General features: G+C 48.0%; 1 protein-coding gene and 1 long non-coding RNA gene across 10 annotated transcripts in view, besides 4 other annotated features; both read left to right on the top strand.

Annotated features, from left to right (window-relative positions):
• The window catches only part of BLNK (B cell linker), an 82399-nt gene that overhangs the window by 31486 nt on the left and 33186 nt on the right, over positions 1 to 17727 (top strand). For 5 of the 9 annotated variants that reach the window (NR_047683.2, NM_001258441.2, NM_001114094.2 and 2 more), the window contains exons 4-6: positions 9250 to 9290; positions 12518 to 12674; positions 16095 to 16258. Coding sequence is in view for 5 of the 9 variants with exons in the window: in NM_001258441.2 (NP_001245370.1) it covers positions 9250 to 9290; positions 12518 to 12674; positions 16095 to 16258 (362 nt within the window). In the remaining 4 variants the exon portion in view is untranslated. The remainder of the gene's footprint in view (positions 1 to 9249; positions 9291 to 12517; positions 12675 to 16094; positions 16259 to 17727) is intronic. The other 4 variants (NR_047680.2, NM_001258442.2, NR_047682.2 and 1 more) reach the window with 2 other exon arrangements.
• LOC124902487 (uncharacterized) lies at positions 950 to 8350 on the top strand. The gene is made up of 3 exons (XR_007062255.1): positions 950 to 1159; positions 1713 to 7699; positions 7803 to 8350. It is a non-coding gene; the product is annotated as an uncharacterized LOC124902487 (long non-coding RNA).
• Positions 3346 to 3845: an enhancer, noted in NCBI's record as "H3K4me1 hESC enhancer chr10:97995995-97996494 (GRCh37/hg19 assembly coordinates)". NCBI's record gives its function as "activates a minimal SCP1, AML or CMV promoter by ChIP-STARR-seq in naive H9 embryonic stem cells {active_cell/tissue: H9 hESC(naive)}" and the evidence as "EXISTENCE:reporter gene assay evidence [ECO:0000049][PMID:30033119]".
• Positions 3577 to 3676: an enhancer, noted in NCBI's record as "active region_3819". NCBI's record gives its function as "activates an Ori minimal core promoter by ATAC-STARR-seq in GM12878 lymphoblastoid cells {active_cell/tissue: GM12878}" and the evidence as "EXISTENCE:reporter gene assay evidence [ECO:0000049][PMID:35858748]".
• Positions 10109 to 10168: an enhancer, noted in NCBI's record as "active region_3818". NCBI's record gives its function as "activates an Ori minimal core promoter by ATAC-STARR-seq in GM12878 lymphoblastoid cells {active_cell/tissue: GM12878}" and the evidence as "EXISTENCE:reporter gene assay evidence [ECO:0000049][PMID:35858748]".
• Positions 14235 to 14735: an enhancer, noted in NCBI's record as "H3K4me1 hESC enhancer chr10:97985105-97985605 (GRCh37/hg19 assembly coordinates)". NCBI's record gives its function as "activates a minimal SCP1, AML or CMV promoter by ChIP-STARR-seq in naive H9 embryonic stem cells {active_cell/tissue: H9 hESC(naive)}" and the evidence as "EXISTENCE:reporter gene assay evidence [ECO:0000049][PMID:30033119]".

Here is a 17727-nt window from a genome sequence, read left to right as displayed (position 1 = left end):
AGTGTGGGGTAGGAGAAGAGCTTAGGTGGTGTGGGAAGATCTGTCTGAGAAGGTGACATTTAATTTGAGGATTCGGGGACAAATGTGCAGGAATATTTGCCACTTTTAGATGAACCAACAGCATCAGAGATGCTGGACACAGATTCCAGGAGTTCAGAGTCAATTGTTGGAAACCTAAGTGGACTGACATATCTGATTTCAGGGTGGACCTCCCTCCTGATTGTCCCCTCACACTCACCTGTCTGCCTGCTGATCCACCCACCCAGGCCCTCTCCTTTCCCTCTATTTCTGCGTGGGGAAAAGGGAGGTAGCATCCATCTATTATTCATCCTTTTGCCTAACCCACACACTTGGGATCAACCTTGATGCCTCCTTTTCCCTCACCTTCTACAAAAATTAATCTCCAAATCTCATTGATTTGCTCTTAAATGCCTCTTAAATATTTTTTCCCTCTCTATTCCCATTGCTACAGCTAAGGCCTTCATCATCTCTTGCTTGTCCTAGGGTAGAAGGCTCTAAGTAATCTGCTTAATTCCTGATTGCATGTGGTCCTCTCAACTTCCACCAGAAAATTGTTCTGAAATAAAATTCTCTTTAAATCTTTTCATGGCTCTACATTGCTAACAAGAGGAACTGCAAACCACTGAGCCCACATACAAGGTCTTTCAGCTTAGCCACTAACTGGCTGTGTAATCTTGGGCATCTCATGCTCCTTTCCTCATCTATATTATGCAGGCCTGAACTAGAAGATCTGTCAGGTCCCCTCTAATACTAATTATTCTGCACTCCTGCAGAAACACAGATCTCTGGGGCTCAGGGCCCAGTGATAAAGTGAGCCTCTCCTAACATTCCCTGGCTTTAGGCATTCACATCTTCCAATATCCCTGATGCTCTGAAGTGTTCTCTTTTTTGTCCTCAGACACCTGCTCCCTTTCCTGGAACCCTTCCAAATAGTCTTGATGTCAGAACATTTAATCTCTCCTGGAATGCAGAAGTGTGGCCCAACAGGATCTTCTAAGCCTTTGCAACACAAAGTTTGATTCCCAGCAAGATAGCATCAACCTCATCTGGAGCTTGTTAGAAATGCAGAATCTTGGCCCCACCCTAGAACTACTGGATCAGAATTTACATTTTAGCAAGATCTCCAGGGGATCTGAATGTAAATCATATTTAAGAAACCCTGCTATAAACCACCATCTCTGTCCCTATTGCCTTTCCTGAACTGAAAGACACGTAGATTTTATTCCCTCAATCCCTGACCCCTGCAAATCCATTGATGTTCCAGGGTCTCGGAAATGCATCTTATTGCTTTGCCAGATGACTGGGGCCTTGCCCAGTTTCCCCTGCTCTTACACTCAATCCCCGGAAATGGTCCAAAACCACCATCACCACCTGCAGTTAGCATCCTCCCTTGCCGTTCTCTCCCCCACCCCAGTTCACATCCCAGGAGCATTTCCAGCTGCTTCCCCTGAGCCTTGAGGTTTCTGCACAGCTGCACGTCCAGGGCCTCAGAAATCAGCCCTGAGAGCTCCTCCTGAACCTGGGGAGTCTTTAGGATCTTGGAAACTGTAGTGTGTGGAGGCCAGAGCCCACCAGACCTCCTGAGCCTGGGAGGCCAATCACGTGCCCTGTGGAGCACTTGATCCACCAAAGGCTCCTGAAATGCTCCAGCCATTTTCCCCCCACACATTGGATTTATGTCCTCTTTCCAGTTCTGGAAACAAATGGCTTCCCAAAACCCTCTAAGCCAAGAGTGTGTTGACCTTGGTGATGCTGACCTTCAGAGAGCAGAGGATAGAAAGGACCAGCAACTGCCCCACAGGAGGTCAGTAAAAGAGTCACCATACCCTCTTCCCTAGTTAGAGTACAGAAGGACAAAGCTTGAATTACACAAAGAATGGAGAGCTGGGTCTCCTCCAGGGATGCAGGTCAGGCCAGTGTGGAGCCTGCTGCCTTCAGTTCAGACCCAGCAATCCCAGTTCAGTCTTTCCCTGAGGAGGAAACATCGCCCCTAAGGAACTGCTGGCCCACTGGGCAGAATGCATTGCCCCAAGCAGCTGGCATTGCTGTGGGAAGGGAAGATATCCAAAATCTGTTGAGTATTGACTCTGTTCTGGGCATTAAGCTAAGCTCTTCACAGACATATCTCATTTAATCTTCTCATTAGCACCGTTATATAGAAATTACGATCTCGGTTTTGCAGATGAGGAAAATGTGTCTCAAGGACATTAAGTATCCTGTCCAAGGTGACTGCAGCCACTAAGAGGAAAACCCATCCCAGACTCCCATTTTGCAGCTCCTTGCTTTGACCCAAGCTCAAGTGTTCATGCTTTTGGGGGAACTTTTTTCTTATTCTGAAGGCACTAGAGCTCCTGACATTAATGCAAGAACTCGCTTCCCAGTTCCTGAGCTTTCACAGTTGAACAGCCTTCGGTATCTTTGAAGTCTGAGGTCTGGCTGGGGATGGAGGTCAGGGAGAGACCAGTCATGGTGCCCGAGAGTCTGCTGGGATCACTGCAGATGCCCCATTGGTTACCCCACAAGTCCTTGAGGAGTCAGAACTGAACAGAGCCCCTCTCTTGCACTCTTGGGCTCTGATGTCCAGGGCTCTGATGGGGTGGCATCCCTGGGAGGTCCACGTGTGACTCCTCTGGCTCTGCTATCATGCAGGGAGGAGATCAGAGCAAATATAGGGTGGAGGGGTGGCAAACTCACTTACATGGAAAAAAATAAAAATCCAGAGCAAAGAAGGCACTTGGACAGGGATTCTTGGGTAAATGCCCACACAGAAGTATGGGGTATGCATAACAATCCTTTGTCCACTAAAGAAGTGAGATTTAACATTGCTTTTGTCATGGGCCTGGTGCTCCTAGTGGAGCCAGCATTTACCTGGTTTTCTGTCTCCCTGTCCATATTCCCCTGGAGGTACTGGTCTTACGCTGACATGGGAGAGCTATATCCAACATCAGTCCTGCCATAGGGAACTAAGAATAGAGGAATGACACTTGGGCTCAAAGGTATTTTAAAGCTTAGAAATTCCTGAAGGATTGCCCAACCCAAGCTTCTCATTTTAGGAATAACTGGAGACCAGAGAGGCAAAGTGACTCCTGAGGTCATGCAGTGAGGTGATGGCTGAGCCAGGACTATGTCCCCCATTGCTGTACCCCCACCCCTCTGTTAATGATCCTGTGAAGGGATGAGTAGACATACAGACAAAGGGAGTTTCTACGATGATAAGTATTTCTTTTTTCTTTTTTTGAGACGGGGTCTCGCCCTGTCACCCAGGCTGGGGTCCAGGGGTACAATCATGGCTCACTGCAGCCTCAACCTCCTGGGCTCAAGTGATCCTCCTGCTTCAGCCTCCTGAGTAGCTGGGACCACAGGCATGTGCCACCATGCCTGGCTAATTTTCTAAAATCTTTTTTGTAGAGACAATGTCTCACTATGTTGTCCAGGGTGTTCTCAAATTCCCGGCCTCCAGTGATCCTCCTGCCCTGGCCTCCCAAAGTGCTGGGATTACAGGTGTGAGCCCACCATGCCTGGCCTAAGATGTTAAGTATTTAGACTCAGAACACCTCTCTCAGCCAGCCTGAATCTGGGTCTTGTCCTCAGTTCCCCACATTAAATCATGTCCCTTTCTCCTCTTAGGGCGGCACTGGTGGGACTGGCCACCCACCGCCTCCCCTGCAGCCTCTGTAGTTCTGCTTTCTGTTCCTTTTCGGTGTCTGTCCCCACCACCACAACTGGCCCACCCTCCCTCTTTCCTTCCTTCTGTGTCCTGCTGCGGTCTTCCCACTGGCTCCCTGCATGCCACCACCTGCTCTGTTGGGGGAGAGATGGGCAGGGTCTGGCGGCCGGGTAGCCTCCAGAGCAGGATCAGGGCTGCAGCTGAGGCAGAATGTCAGACATGCTGTGATGCCACCAGCATCTGCCCCAGGGGCTCTGGTGCTCCTATTGACTCAGAACTGAGAGGCTGGATTCATACTCCCTTTGCCCCAGCCACCACCACAGAGTCCTGTACTGTCCTTCCAGCCATCCCTTCCCATTCCCAGACCCCCTGGTCTGGATCAGCTTTCGTCTTTCCATGCCTGAGTTCCTAAACACCAACCTCATCAGCTCCCCATCTCAGCTTGTCACTGGAGCCTGCGGTGTCCACTATGGCTGGAGCCCCCACTGGCCGGCAGCACATCAGATTTGTGTGAGCGCTCAGCAGAATCTCCTGTCCCTCTCCAGCCCAGCGCATTCATTCTGCACACATCTGCCTCTAAGCCCTGCTTCTGGGGCTGACACATAAGCCCCTCTCTCAGATGATGGAGGAAGACACACTCCTTCATCCTTATTCTCTCACCCAAATCCTGCTCATCCTTCAAGGCCCCATTCGGCCCCACCTCGGGCACATGGCCTCATGCAAGTTTTTGGCTGTCACTGGGCACACCTTTCTCTGAACTTTCCCCGCTCCTGGCAATGATTCCAGGTGTGGGGACATTTCTCAGAAAACTACATGGCCCTGAGTTTTCCCAGTCTCATGTGGTCATTCTTCTGGCCCTTAGTCTTTATTTGTATTATGAAGTGTGGCTTGGTGAGAAGACCTTGGACTCTGAGGTCCTTTAGGCCTGGGTTGGAATCCTGGCTTTGCTCCCTAAGCACTGTGTGAACTTGGAACAGTTTTGTAATTTGAGTGAGCCTCCAATTTCTGACCTGGGGATAAGAATACCTATCCTTTAGATTGTTCTGAGAATTGCAGAGACTGTAAATTCATTGTAATAGCTAACATTCATTGAGCCCTTTACTCTATGTCAGATACTCTTCTAAGCACGATTAATAATGTCCATTTTAGCAAAGGGGAAGCTGAGGCCCAGAGGTGAAGCAATTCAGCTAAGATCTCACTCCTAGAAAATGGCAGAATAAGGATTCTAAGTTAGGCAGTCTGACCCCAGAGCTTAAGCCCAAATGTGGGCCGCTGTGGCCATTCTCACATCTCCTTGTGTCTGGTGCTGTGCCCACAGGCTGGGGAGGGCTACATGAATCTTAAAACCTGGGTCAGGCAAAGGGAGGAGTCCCTCTATTGTGTGGCATGGGATTATGACATGGTAAATGGAGCATAAGCCCCAAACCAGGTAAACCACACCATAGGAAAGGCTTTAACTGACAAGAGGGCCCGCCCAGGATCTCAGCTTCCTGGCAGAGACCATGGAATCACACAAACAAAATCAATCCACCTGGCCCACATGAAGCTTGAACTTCTCCCCCAAATTTTACTCACTACAATAGAGGCTTTCTTGGATCCATGCCTTTGTGGTAGCCATAGTGTGTGATTGACGTGGGAGTAAATTAGAATCAGTGGTGTTTTGAGTGTTAATTGAGGCATTCTTTGCAATGCTCAAGATGACGGTAACATTACTAAAGCATTACTGTGTGCCAGGCTTTGCTAAGAGCTTCAGATGTATTTTATTATTTGATTCTCACAAAAATATGATACAGGCACTGTTCTTATCCTTGCTTTACGGGTGAGGAAATGAAGCTTTAAACAATATTAAATTATTGGTCCAAGACCAAGCAGCTTGTAAAGGTCAGAGCCAGGATTTGAACCTAGAAAGCCTGGCTCTAAACTACCACCTGTGCACTTTGGGAAGCTCCCTGAGATACTGGAAAACTGACTACTGTTTTGGACCTAATACCTCGGACTCCCATGCTTTTTAGTCTTGGCAATTGCCTGCAAGACTGTAACTTTATGAATATGATGCTGTGAGTTGCACTTGGGACCTGAAGTAGATAGTCTAGCTAGGAATCGATGGGGCACCAACAAACAACCTCTATCCCATACTGTATGATGCTTTTCTCTCTTTTCTGTCTCCATGTGCCAAGATGTCTGGATTGGGTCATTCTCGTTTCACCAAGGTTTTATCTAAGTGCTCAGCAGAGGGCTAAGTGGCTCAGATGAGATTTCAGCTGCAGGAGCCAACACAGCCTGGCTTCCAACCCAGCTCCCAAACTCACTAGCCAAGTAGCCTCAGGCAGGTTTTACAACCTCTTTCAAAACCAAGTTTCTCCACTGTAAAATAGAGATAAAAATAACACCTACCACATAGTGCTGTTATAAGAATACACTTTTATAACACTTAGCCTGGCACCCAGCACATAGGAAGTGTTCAGTAAATGGAATCTATTGTTGCTATCCTAATGTTCCTTTGTTTGAGTCATTTATTAGTTCACACATTTATTAATACATTAATTACAAATGCAAAATTCTGTCCAGATGCAAAGATAAATTAGATAGGCCTTATTTTCAGTACAGAGAGACATGAACAACTTAATCACAGCACAGGACAGAACGAAGTACATGTGACATCACGGTGCCACCAGCTTCCAAGAGGGCCCAGAAAAAGAAGTGATTGATTATGACAAGAGACTGTGGTAGACTTTGTGGAGGAGGAGTGATAGGGATTTCCATGGAAGAAAGAAGATGGGCTGCAGGAACGGCACGAGCAGAGCAGAGAATCAGCAAAGTGCACAACGGGAGGAGGAAGCTGTCTGGTGTTACTGTTAGTGAGCGTGGGAGCCTGCCGCAAGAAGTCGGTGGTGGGACAGAAGGCAGAGGCATTGGAATGTGTTGCCACAGAACCTCTACTTGATTCCATAGGGAGTCACTGATGACTCTTAAGGAAAGGAACAGCATAATCCAAACTTTATTTTAATAAAATAACTACAAACGGTAGGATGGATGGATTGGAGAAGAAAGATAATGGAGACAGGGACACTAGTTAGATGGCTAATGCACTACTTTCACCAGTGACTGATCATAAAATAGGCCCCCACTCACTGAGAAAGGGTGGAGCAAATGCAGTTATCCAGGCAGGGAAGTGGGTTTCATAAAGGCATTTTATAAGGGTTTCTATTTAAATGGTTGTTACAAAAACTCTTGCCATCTTAAGTGTTGATCTTCAGTGATCCCCAGACTTAAGGTATTAGAAACACATTGACCAGATGCAGTGGCTTATGCCTGTAATCCCAGCACTTTTGAAGGCAGAGGCAGGTGAGTCATTTGAACCCAGGAGTTCAAGACCAGCCTGGGCAACATGGCAAAACCCCATCTCTACAAAAAATACAAAAGTTAGCTGGGCATGGTGGCACGTGCCAGTTACTCAGGAGGCTGAGGTAGCAGGATCGCTTGCACCAAGGAGGTTGAGGCTGCAGTAAGCCATGATTGTGCCACTGCACTCCCACCTGGGCAACACAGTGAGACTCTGTCTCAAAAAAAAAAAAAAAGACTAGAAAAGAAAAAGAAACATACTCCCCCATTGTGCCAGGTAATCATATTGGGAAGAGGATTTATTCACCCAATCTTCTAGAGTTTCTTGGCCAACCCCAGTGATTGCAGTACACTCTAATTCAGCATTAGTCAACCCAAAGAATAATGTAAGAATTCTTTTCTGTTCACGTCAAAGTGTGACCCATGTTTGGCTTGTAGAGTGAGGCTCTTTCTTAGCACCTATCATGTTTTTCCCAAAAGAGGGTGCTGCTGCCGCCATTGCTTAAAATGTGGCCACTCCGATCCCACAGTATCCTTCCTGACCCCATTTCACCTCTGCAATTCCTTGCTGGTGCCTCTGGAGACCCCAAATGTTTGACTCTCTGGAGTCCGGTGGTCTGCTGTGGCAGGGGTAGAAATAGCAAAAACATAAAAATAAAACTAGAAAATGTTCTGTTGAGGTTCTGGGAAATTTAGGAACATCCACTGGGTCCTCTGTGGCAGTGGCTACTCAGCGGGGAATAGCAAAAACATAAAAATAAAACTAGAAAAGGTTCTGTTGAGGTTCTGGGAAATTTAGGAACATCCACTGGATCCTCTGTGGCAGTGGCTGCTCAGCGGGGCAGGAGGGAGCTGGGACCCTCTGTGGTGCTGTCATGGAGCCACTCTGCCACATGGGCCTGTGTCTGCTTGATTCCTACACAGCAGAGTGAATCCCATTTAACCTCTAAGGTCAGTTTATGTGATAGGCTAGATGCTAAGTTTCTCATACTCTAAATGTGTTTTGGAGGGAAAGGGGTCAAATATTCGCCTGGGCTGTCATAATTCAGACTTATTTTATTCTACAAGCTCATAAACTACTTAAGGGCCACAACCTGTCATATCCATTTTTCTATGCCCATGCAGAGCCCAGGACGGCACCTCCTGCCCCTGGAGCGAGGCAGCACCATGTGGGGGCTCAGCGCATGCCCGTGGAAGGCAACCTGTAGGGTTCAACTCCTGGCTCTGCCATTTATTACACTATCTGACCTTGGGCATGTGACTTATCTGCTCTAGGCCTCAGTTTCCTCACAAGGTTTAGGTGATTTTTTTTTTTTTTTTTTTTTTTGAGACAGGGTCTTACTCTGTCATCCCAGCTAGAGTGCAATGGCACAATCACAGCTCACTGCAGCCTCGACCCCCTGGGCTCAAGCAATCCTCCCATCTCAGCCTGCTAAGTAGCTGGAACTACAGATATGGACCACCACACCCAGCTAATTATTTTATTTTTTGTAGAGATGGGGCCTTGCCATGTTGTCCAGACTGGTCTTGAACTCCTGGGCTCAAGCAACCCTCCTGCCTTGGCCTCTCAAAGTGCTGGGACTACAGTGCTGGGATTACAGGCATAAGCCCCAACGCCCAGCCCCTCACAGCGTCTTTGAGAGGGCTAAAAGACGGCAAAGCTCTGATAATATTGCCTGGCACATACTAAGACATTGGATAATTTTTTTTTAACAAGAAAAGTCAAAGTTAGAGCCAGAGATGATCACAGAAATGATCCCCTCATTGTATAGATCTGGAAACCGAGGCTCAGAGATGTTAGAGGTCTTGCCCACACTCCAACGCATTCGGAACAGAGCCTGGATAAGAACTTAGGTCTGTCTGATTCCCTGTCCTGTGCTGTTCCTACTACGCCATCCTCTGAAGTCCTTAGAAGCCACATAGTATGAATTGTAGGTCTCTACTGGGGGACCCAGAAATGTCCCTTAACAAAGCCCACACATGGATCAGACGCACATTGCTCTGCCCAGTGGGACTTCTCTCTATGCTTTGAGAATTAATATTTTTTAAAAAGTCAAAAGCAAGTGAACATATGATTGTAGTAACTAACCCAAGGTCAAGTATATGGCACCAGAAAGCCCAAAGGGAAGGGAAGGCAGGTGCGAAATGTGTGTGGATGGGCTGGGGCTGGCCAGCTGAGGCTCACACTTGTGCCTTCTGCTTCTCCCCTGCTGTTGCAGAGAGCCCTGCTGACGAAGAGGAGCAGTGGTCCGATGACTTTGTAAGTATTTGCTCCTGGGACCAGGAGGGCATCAGGGTCCCATGGGAGGCCTTTTGAAGATCTTATTTCTGAATTACATGCTGGTGGTCAGCCGCACGTCCCAAGAGGGAAGACTTGGAAAGGTCACCTACAGGCAAGGCATACTGCATACCAGCTGACTTGACTGGCACTCAGTGTGCGCCTGGCTAAGAGCTTTCCACACATAACCTCATTTAAACCTTTGAGGTAGGTGTTCTTATGCCCAACTTCAGTGCTGGTGTTCAGAGTACTCACCAGCACATCCAAAACAGGTGTAAAAATGTTTAAATGTTTCCATATCAGTTAGCAAATGCCTCTGCCCTAAACTCCCCAGTGCCCATCACTGCCTGACCCCTGCCCAGGAGCCCTAAACGAACCAACAACTAAAGAATAAGTGTCTGGCACATCAGGGGGCCTCCAGGACCAAGGTCTAGAAAGTTTCAGTCACTTGCAGTTCCACAATTCAGACCCAGGCCCTCAGATCTCAGGACCAGGCTCTTTGCCACCAAGGTGCTTGCTGTGATCAAGAGAACATTAGCAGAGCTCCGGAGCCACAGAGAGAGGGACCTGGCCATGATGACACTGGGGATGTTGTATCAGAATTATCTCTTTGAGGTAGCTCTGAAATGTGCAAGGCCTGACATCCTAAAAACTTTTCTTCACAATAATTATTCCTCACTTATATCAAATTCATCCAGAATGTTAGCCTGCTCCAACCTGTGAGTTTTAGATCTGGAAGGGATCCAAGAAGCCTTCCATACAACCACATACCCATTTCACAGATAAGAAAACTGAGGCCAAGAGAATGAAAATCACCCAGTTCAGTGGAATGAGAACCCAGGACTCAGACCTCCAGTCCTGTGCCCAGCCCTGGGCTGTGCACACTACCTGGAGTTTATACAGAGTCTCAGAAGACAGGAGTTCCTCCTTCTTCAACTGCAGAAAAAGAAAAGAAAAATGAGGGGAAGGGGTGACTTTTCTGCCCATCTCTTGGTCATGGAGCTCCTCCTGGGGCCCAGCAGCCGCAGCTCCCTGAGATGCACTGCAGCTGCGCCCCCTGCTGGCTGCGCACGCGCGTGCACACACGAACACACACACACACACACACACACACACACACAGCCACATGTAAAGCAAAGAAATTGCTTGGTCCACATGCAGAGGTAAGAGAAGAAAACTGAGCAAGCTGGCTGGATGAAAAAGAGCACACAAGGGAACTTAGAAAGCACAAAATAAAATCAGCCTGGAGAGGAAGGAATTACTTGCCCCAAAATCAGACAACCAAAATGAAGATACCAGCTGTACTAAAGACTGAGTAAGCATTCACTCACAGCTCTTTTGACTTCAGTAGATGGATCCCCACTGCACGCAGAATGAAATCCAGGCTTGTTAATAAAGCCTCCAGAATTTCTTGATTTTAAACAAAAATCCTGCTATATGTTCTCATTCATTTGTAGGAGCTAAAAATTAAAACACTTGAACTCATAAAGACGGACAGTAGAATGATGTTTACCAGAGGCTGGGAAGGGTGGTCGAGGGGGCAGCAGGTGGGGGGAGGGAAACAGGGACAGTTAATGGGTGCAAAAATATAGTTAGGATGAATAAGACCTAGTGTTTGACAACAGGGTAACTACAGTCAACAATAATTTATTGTGCATTTAAAAATAACTAAAAGAATATAATTGGAATGTTTATAACACACACAAAAAATGAATGCTTGAGTGATGGATACCCCATTTACCCAGATGTTATTACTACACGTTGTATGCCTGTTTCAAAATATCTCATATACCCCATATATATATATACCTACTATGTACCCCTACAATTCTTTTTTTTTAAAGACCAACAGGAAAAAAAATCCTGCTATATAAAATTGCTTATGAAAGGCGACAGGCCAAAGAGCAAGTGGAAAGTCATGTACAGATCATGCAATGTGATAGGCAGAGTGTGAGGGCGGTGGACACAGAGGCCAGAGGACCTCTTATGTCCTGAGTCAAATATTTCCTCCACATGAATATATGTACAAACGGTATATACATAAACTACCTCTGAAAAACATGCACAAGAAACCTAGTGACTCTTTCTGCCTCTGCGGTGAGAAGCAGAGAGGCTGAGAAGGAGACTGCACTTTATATCCTTCTAAGCCATTTGGACTTCAGACCGTGACAATGTATTTTCAGTGTGGACTTAAATGAAATGTGGATTTTAAAAAAACAGGCCAGGCGCAGTGGCTCATGCCTGTAATCTCAGCGCTTTGGGAGGCCGAGGCTGGCAGATCACCTGAGGTCAGGAGTTTGAGACCAGCCTGGCCAACATGGTGAAACCCCAGCTTTACTAAAAATACAAAAATTAGCTGGGCGTGGTGGTGCAATTTGTAATCCCAGCTACTCCAGAGACTGAGACAGGAGAATAACTTGAACCCAGGAAGTAGAGGTTGCAGTGAGCTGAGATCCTGCCACTGCACTCTAGCCTGGGCGACAAAGCAAGACTCGGTTTCAAAAAAAAATTAGCCAGGCACGGTGGTGCATGCCTGTAATCCCAGCTACTTGGGAGACTAGGGCAGGAGAATCGCTGGAACCCAGGAGGCAGAGGCTGCAGTGAGCTGAGATTGCGCCACTGCACTCCAGTCTGGGCAACAGAGTGAGACTCCATCTCAAAAACAGGAAAAAAAAAAAAAGAAAAAAAAGAGAGCAAACCCTGAGTCCATTTGAAGCCTTGACCCTGCAGCTTACCAATTCTGCTTGAAATTTTTAAAAAATCTCATCTGAAAGATATCTAGCTGGCCCTGTGTGTCTCCTCACCCTCTTCGTATTAAACCTATTTTCTCTTCAGTGATCAGCATTCATAATAGATAAAACCCATTGGTTATTCTATTTTATTGGGCCATTTTCCTATCTTTTAAAAATATGTTTTATTATCTCCTCTTGTTATTTGTTGTGGATCTACAGAGTGTCAGCTCCCATTAGCGTTAAGTAGTTCCTGTGTCCCCCAAGGACAGTGCAGTGGTGGAGACGATAAACTTTGGAGGCAGAAAGGCCTGCTTCAAACCCCAGCTTTGCCTCTTATCGGCTGCCTAGCCTTTTGAAGTCAACCTCTCCAAGCCTTGTCTCCTGTCACTGCTCTGGCCTCCCAAGGCAGGAATGGTCCTGACGGCCAGGCAGCACAGACGGGGATGCTGAGCACAGTGTCTGCATCTGCACTTGCAGGACAGCGACTATGAAAATCCAGATGAGCACTCGGACTCAGAGATGTACGTGATGCCCGCCGAGGAGAACGCTGATGACAGCTACGAGCCGCCTCCAGTAGAGCAGGAAACCAGGCCGGTTCACCCAGCCCTGCCCTTCGCCAGAGGCGAGTATATAGGTGAGGTCCCCCGCAGACCTGGGCACTCGGCCTTCCAGGCCCATGGGGAGGTGGGGGTGTCCAAGATTGCGGGGTGGGGACAAACCTGGCTGCTGCTTGAGGGCCTCTGCCAGCCGCCCGCTCCCGCCACCTCCAAGCAGGGGATCTGGGCTCCGAGGTAAAGGATCCCAAGCTGTAGGGCTTTCCCATTCCAGGGGAAGAGGCGTCTTTCCTAGATTGGGAACATTGAAAGCAGGCATAAACAAACAAACAAACAAACAAACAAACAACAAACCCAGCATACCCTGATGGTTGTGCTCCCTCCCAACACTCCAAGGGAAAGCAACCCTGAGATTAGTCCCACTTTTAGGGCTTCGTGTGCTCAAGGTTCTGGGATTTCTCTTAAGAAGTCTGTACAAAACAATGACCTTCGAGGATCCCAGTGTCTGCCTCACCTTCCTCCCATGCCTAGTCCAGACTATGCGGTTTTACCAGGGGATACAGGTGCTCAGGAGCCCCAAGCCTGGAATAAGCCTCATGGGTTAAATGGACACAGCTTGGGTCTGTTTTTTTTTTTGTTTTGTTTTGTTTTTTTGCGACAGAGTCTCACTCTGTCACCCAGGCTGGAGTGCAGTGGCATGAACTCGCTTCACTGCAACCTCTGCCTCCTGGGTCCAGCCTCCTGCCTCAGCCTCCCGAGTAGCTGGGTCCACAGGCACCCACCACCACGCCTGGCTAACTTTTGTATTTTTAGTAGAGACAGGATTTCCTCATGTTGGCCAGGCTGGTCTCAAACTCCTGACCTCAAGTGATACAACCGCCTCGGCCTCCCAAAGTGCTGGGATTACAGGCATAAGCCACTGCGCCTGGCCCCAAGTATGCATTTTAATGCCCATCTTTGTTCCAGTCTTGGCAGGTGACTAAGTTCCCCAAAGGTTCAGAGAGCAAGTATGTCTGTGATGGTCATGGCGATGCCAGCATTTGTATGGACCGGCTCTACATGTAATATCTCACTGCCATTAACCCCCTCCTTACAGTGTACCAGGCACTGCTCCTTGCTTCACTGAATGAAAGTAAAGTGAAGGCCAGCTGGGCTTACTGGGTTGCCACAGTTGATCTTTTGAGCACCTGCCATGCACCAGAACTATGCTAAGCACTGAGCATTCAGCTGCACTCAAGATGCACATACTCCCAGAGATCTTCTAATTTACAGTTTAGTGCTTTCCCCTGGGGGTCTACTTAACCTCCTCGATAATCCTGAAAGAGGTCAGAGGAGTGAACTGACTGGGCCAAGATCCTCTAAGTGATGGAGCTGGGATACAAGCCAGGGCTCTCAGCTTCCGAAGCCCAGCTCATCACAACTCGGCTCTGTGCACCACCCACCATACTTGGTGAATGATCTTTTTCAATCATCACAGCAACCCTGGGGAGGAAAGGGCTACTGCAATTCAGGGTGGTTAAGTGGCTCACTCAAGAACACACTCTTGGCCAAGCGCGGTGGCTCACACCTGTAATCCCAGCACTTTGGGAGGCCACAGTGGATGGATCACCTGACGTCAGGAGTTCAAGACCAGCCTGGCCAACATGGCAGAACCCCGTCTCTATTAAAAATACAAAAAAATTAGCCGGGCATGGTGGTGCATGCCAGTAATCCCAGCTACTAGGGAGGCTGAGGCAGTAGAATCACTTGAACCCGGGAGGCGGAGGTTGCAGTGAGCCAAGATCGCACCACTGCACTCCAGCCTGGGCAACAAGAGTGAAACTCTGTCTCAAAAAAAAAAAAAAAAATCACACTCTTCAAAGCCTGTCTCCTGTGTTTTGCTACTTCTGATGGGCTTAAATATTACATTAAATATTTGTTTACTCAGAAATCTGAGTAAACTCCAGGAGCTGCAAATAAAACTGACAAGAGTTATAGGCACAGAAGGAAGGATGCCCTCATGCCTGAGTACAGCCACACCACCAGAAAGAGGCTTCTGAGGAGGCAGCGGAGGTGAAGTTAACCACATACCTTCAACAAGGAGTGAGGGCTGAGGGCAGGGGCAGGCACCAGGAGCATAGAGGCGAGGGCCTAACAGGCAAGGACAGCTGCACCGGGCGAGGTGGGGCTGTCACAGGAAGCAGCAGCAAGAGGCCAGTGATGCAATCCAGAGGCCAGTGCTAGCACCTGTGCTGTTCCCAGTATGAAGAACATGCCAGGTTATTCCTATGCCAAGATTTTCCTAAAACACATCAGTCTGAATCTATGCTCAGCTCACTGAATCACTGGGTAGACTTGAGGCCGCCTAACGCCTCTCTCACATGGCACAGGTGATATAAGTTCTACTTATTAGGCAGACACACTGTACCTACTGCCTTCACTGCAATCTTCCTAATCCCCTCAAGATCTCTAAGGTCGATATTACGATCCTCATTTTAAAAATGAAGAATGTTGGCCAGGCGTGGTGGCTCATGCCTGTAATCCTAACACTTCAGGAGGCTGAGGTGGGTGAATCACTTGGGGTCAGGAGTTCAAAACCAGCCTGGCCAACATGGTAAAACCCCATCTCTACTAAAAATACAAAAATTAGCCAGGCATGGTGGTGGGTGCCTGTAATCCCAGCTACTTCAGAGGCTGAGGCAGGAGAATCACTTGAACCTGGGAGGCGGAGGTTGCAGTAACCAGAGATCATGCCACTGCACTCCAGCCTGGGCAACAGAGCAAGACTTTGTCTCAAAAAAATAAAAAATTAAAAAATTAAAAATAACAATGAAGAATGTGAGTCCCAGAGAGGTTGAATAACCAGCCCCAAAGAGCACAGCTAGTGAGTGGCAGAGCAAGGGACAGAACTCAGATCCAGTTGGCCTTAGAGCCTGACTCCTTTTCTGATACCTGATGAGAAGGACAGTCCTGGACCAAAGGGATCCCACAGATTCCCTGTGAATGGAGCGAAATCACTGAGGGAAGGAGCATGGAAGTTGATCCACGTGAGTAATCACCACCTGGATACACTTTAGCATAACCTGGGGAACTTTTCCAACCTGTAATGCCAGGCTCCTCCCGAGGAGTTCAAACGTTGCCAGGCTGGGGTGGAGCCTAGGCCTTGGCATTTTTAAAAGCCAGGAGCACCTCACCCCCACCCTGTGCCCTCCAGTGCTGCTTCCATCCCCTCTGTGTGGCCAAGTGTTGGGTTGTTGGTTCTCCTGAACCTCTGGGTGTCCATCACTGCCCCGGAAGGATGTTTTTAATGAGGACGTTCTTCCAGTTTTTGTCGTTTAAGTCAATAAGCAGTTGAAATTTTGGGCCTAACATTTCACTTTACTCTTTCAAGGAATGCCCCGTGGATCATTTGTGGCTACATAGACACCCGTGGTTTTATACTTTCTGGATCTCAATGGCTTCCACCCAGGAAATGATCCAGAGCCTCTTTTATGTTATGTTTTTTGTTTGTTCCTTTCAAGACAATCGATCAAGCCAGAGGCATTCCCCACCCTTCAGCAAGACACTTCCCAGTAAGCCCAGCTGGCCTTCAGAGAAAGCAAGGCTCACCTCCACCCTGCCGGCCCTGACTGCTTTGCAGAAACCTCAAGTCCCACCCAAACCCAAAGGCCTCCTTGAGGATGAGGTAAAGTAAATCTGTGCCAAAGGCTTCCCAGGACACAGAGGGGGGTGGGGCAAGCGACCAGGACAGCCTGCCCGCTGGCTGTCCTCCTTCTTTACAACCTGCTATTGACTGCCCCCTCTAACTCTCCACTATTATACCAAAGGGACTTGGTTTTCTCCAAAATGGCTTATTGTAAATATGTCAGTTTACTAGAGGTGTATGGTAAAATATCAATACTGAGTCTGTGCCCCTCATATTATCCCCTCCTTCTTCCCTGGGGTTTCCTGTGAATCTCTTCTTTCCTTCCTAAGATGTTCTTCCTCTCTCTTTATTCTCCTTTGCTTCTCTGTCCTGTTGTTACTGACAGCAAATCCATATGGGTCTGCAGCAACCTCAATTCTTGCCTCCTGGGCGTAAGGCAGAAGGAGAGACCAAGGCAAGTTTCAGAGCAGGAATGAAAAGAAGTCAAGTACACTTAGAAGAGGGCCAAGCGGACGACTTGAGAGATCCAGTGCGCTGTTTGACCTTTGAGTTGGGGTTTTATACACTAGCACACTTCCGGGGTCTTTTGTCCCTTCTCCCCTGATTCTTCCTTTGTGTGGGCTGTCCGCTTGTGCAGTGCCCTGCTAGCATTTGGGAGGTGAGCATGCGCAGTGTGCTTACCGGAGTTGTACGCACGATCCCTTGAAGCATTCTTGCCTTACCAGCTGAATGTTTCTAGAAGGTCAAGTACCAGTTAAACGCTGCCATTTTGCCTCTTAATGCGCATGCTTGAGCCCACTTGCCCAACTCCTGAGATCTTATCGGAAACTGCTCATCACCAGTTTCAGGTTTTTTCTATCTATTGGGAGACTGCTTTTCCCTGGCGCTGGCTGTAACCAATTATTATTTTAGAGAGACAATTAACAGCCACCTGACAATCACCTGATGGTCTCCTGACATTCCTGGGGCAGGGGAGCCCTCTCCTGCCCTGCTCATGCCTGACTAGCTATTATACCCACTGTAACACTGTCGCCACCTTGCTTTCTTTCCTCCACCTTCTTTTCTCTCTGCTCCTCCACTTCCCTCTTCTCAGATGCAGAGGGTGACATGGGCCAGGATGTACAATGGAGATAGCTAGTCTGTAAGGTACCCCGCACAACCTGTGGAGGAGCTAATCCCTCACTTCCCTTTGACAGCTCTTGCTTCTCACTTCCTCCCTCCCCACAGCTGCCCTGCCCCAGCAGGTGTCCAGAGACCCACCTTTTCAGATGGCCCAGCATCCAACTCTGGGTTTACCTCCTCAATCTTCCCTGTCTCAGCACCTAGCCCTTTGTGTTGTTTTCCCTATGAAATAGCTCCTATTTGAAAATGAATAGGTAAACTCATCCAAGCTGTCGTAGTAACTGATAAAGCCTAATGTGTTATGGCTCCCAGAGGTCCCTGCATTTTAAATAAGGACAGAGACCAGCCTGCAGCTTCTCTAAGAAATAACTTGCCTGTAGAGGATA

The sequence above is a fragment of the Homo sapiens genome, chromosome 10 (assembly GCF_000001405.40).
Source record: "Homo sapiens chromosome 10, GRCh38.p14 Primary Assembly".
NCBI lineage: Eukaryota > Metazoa > Chordata > Mammalia > Primates > Hominidae > Homo > Homo sapiens.
This window is presented reverse-complemented; position numbering and strand designations above follow the sequence as displayed.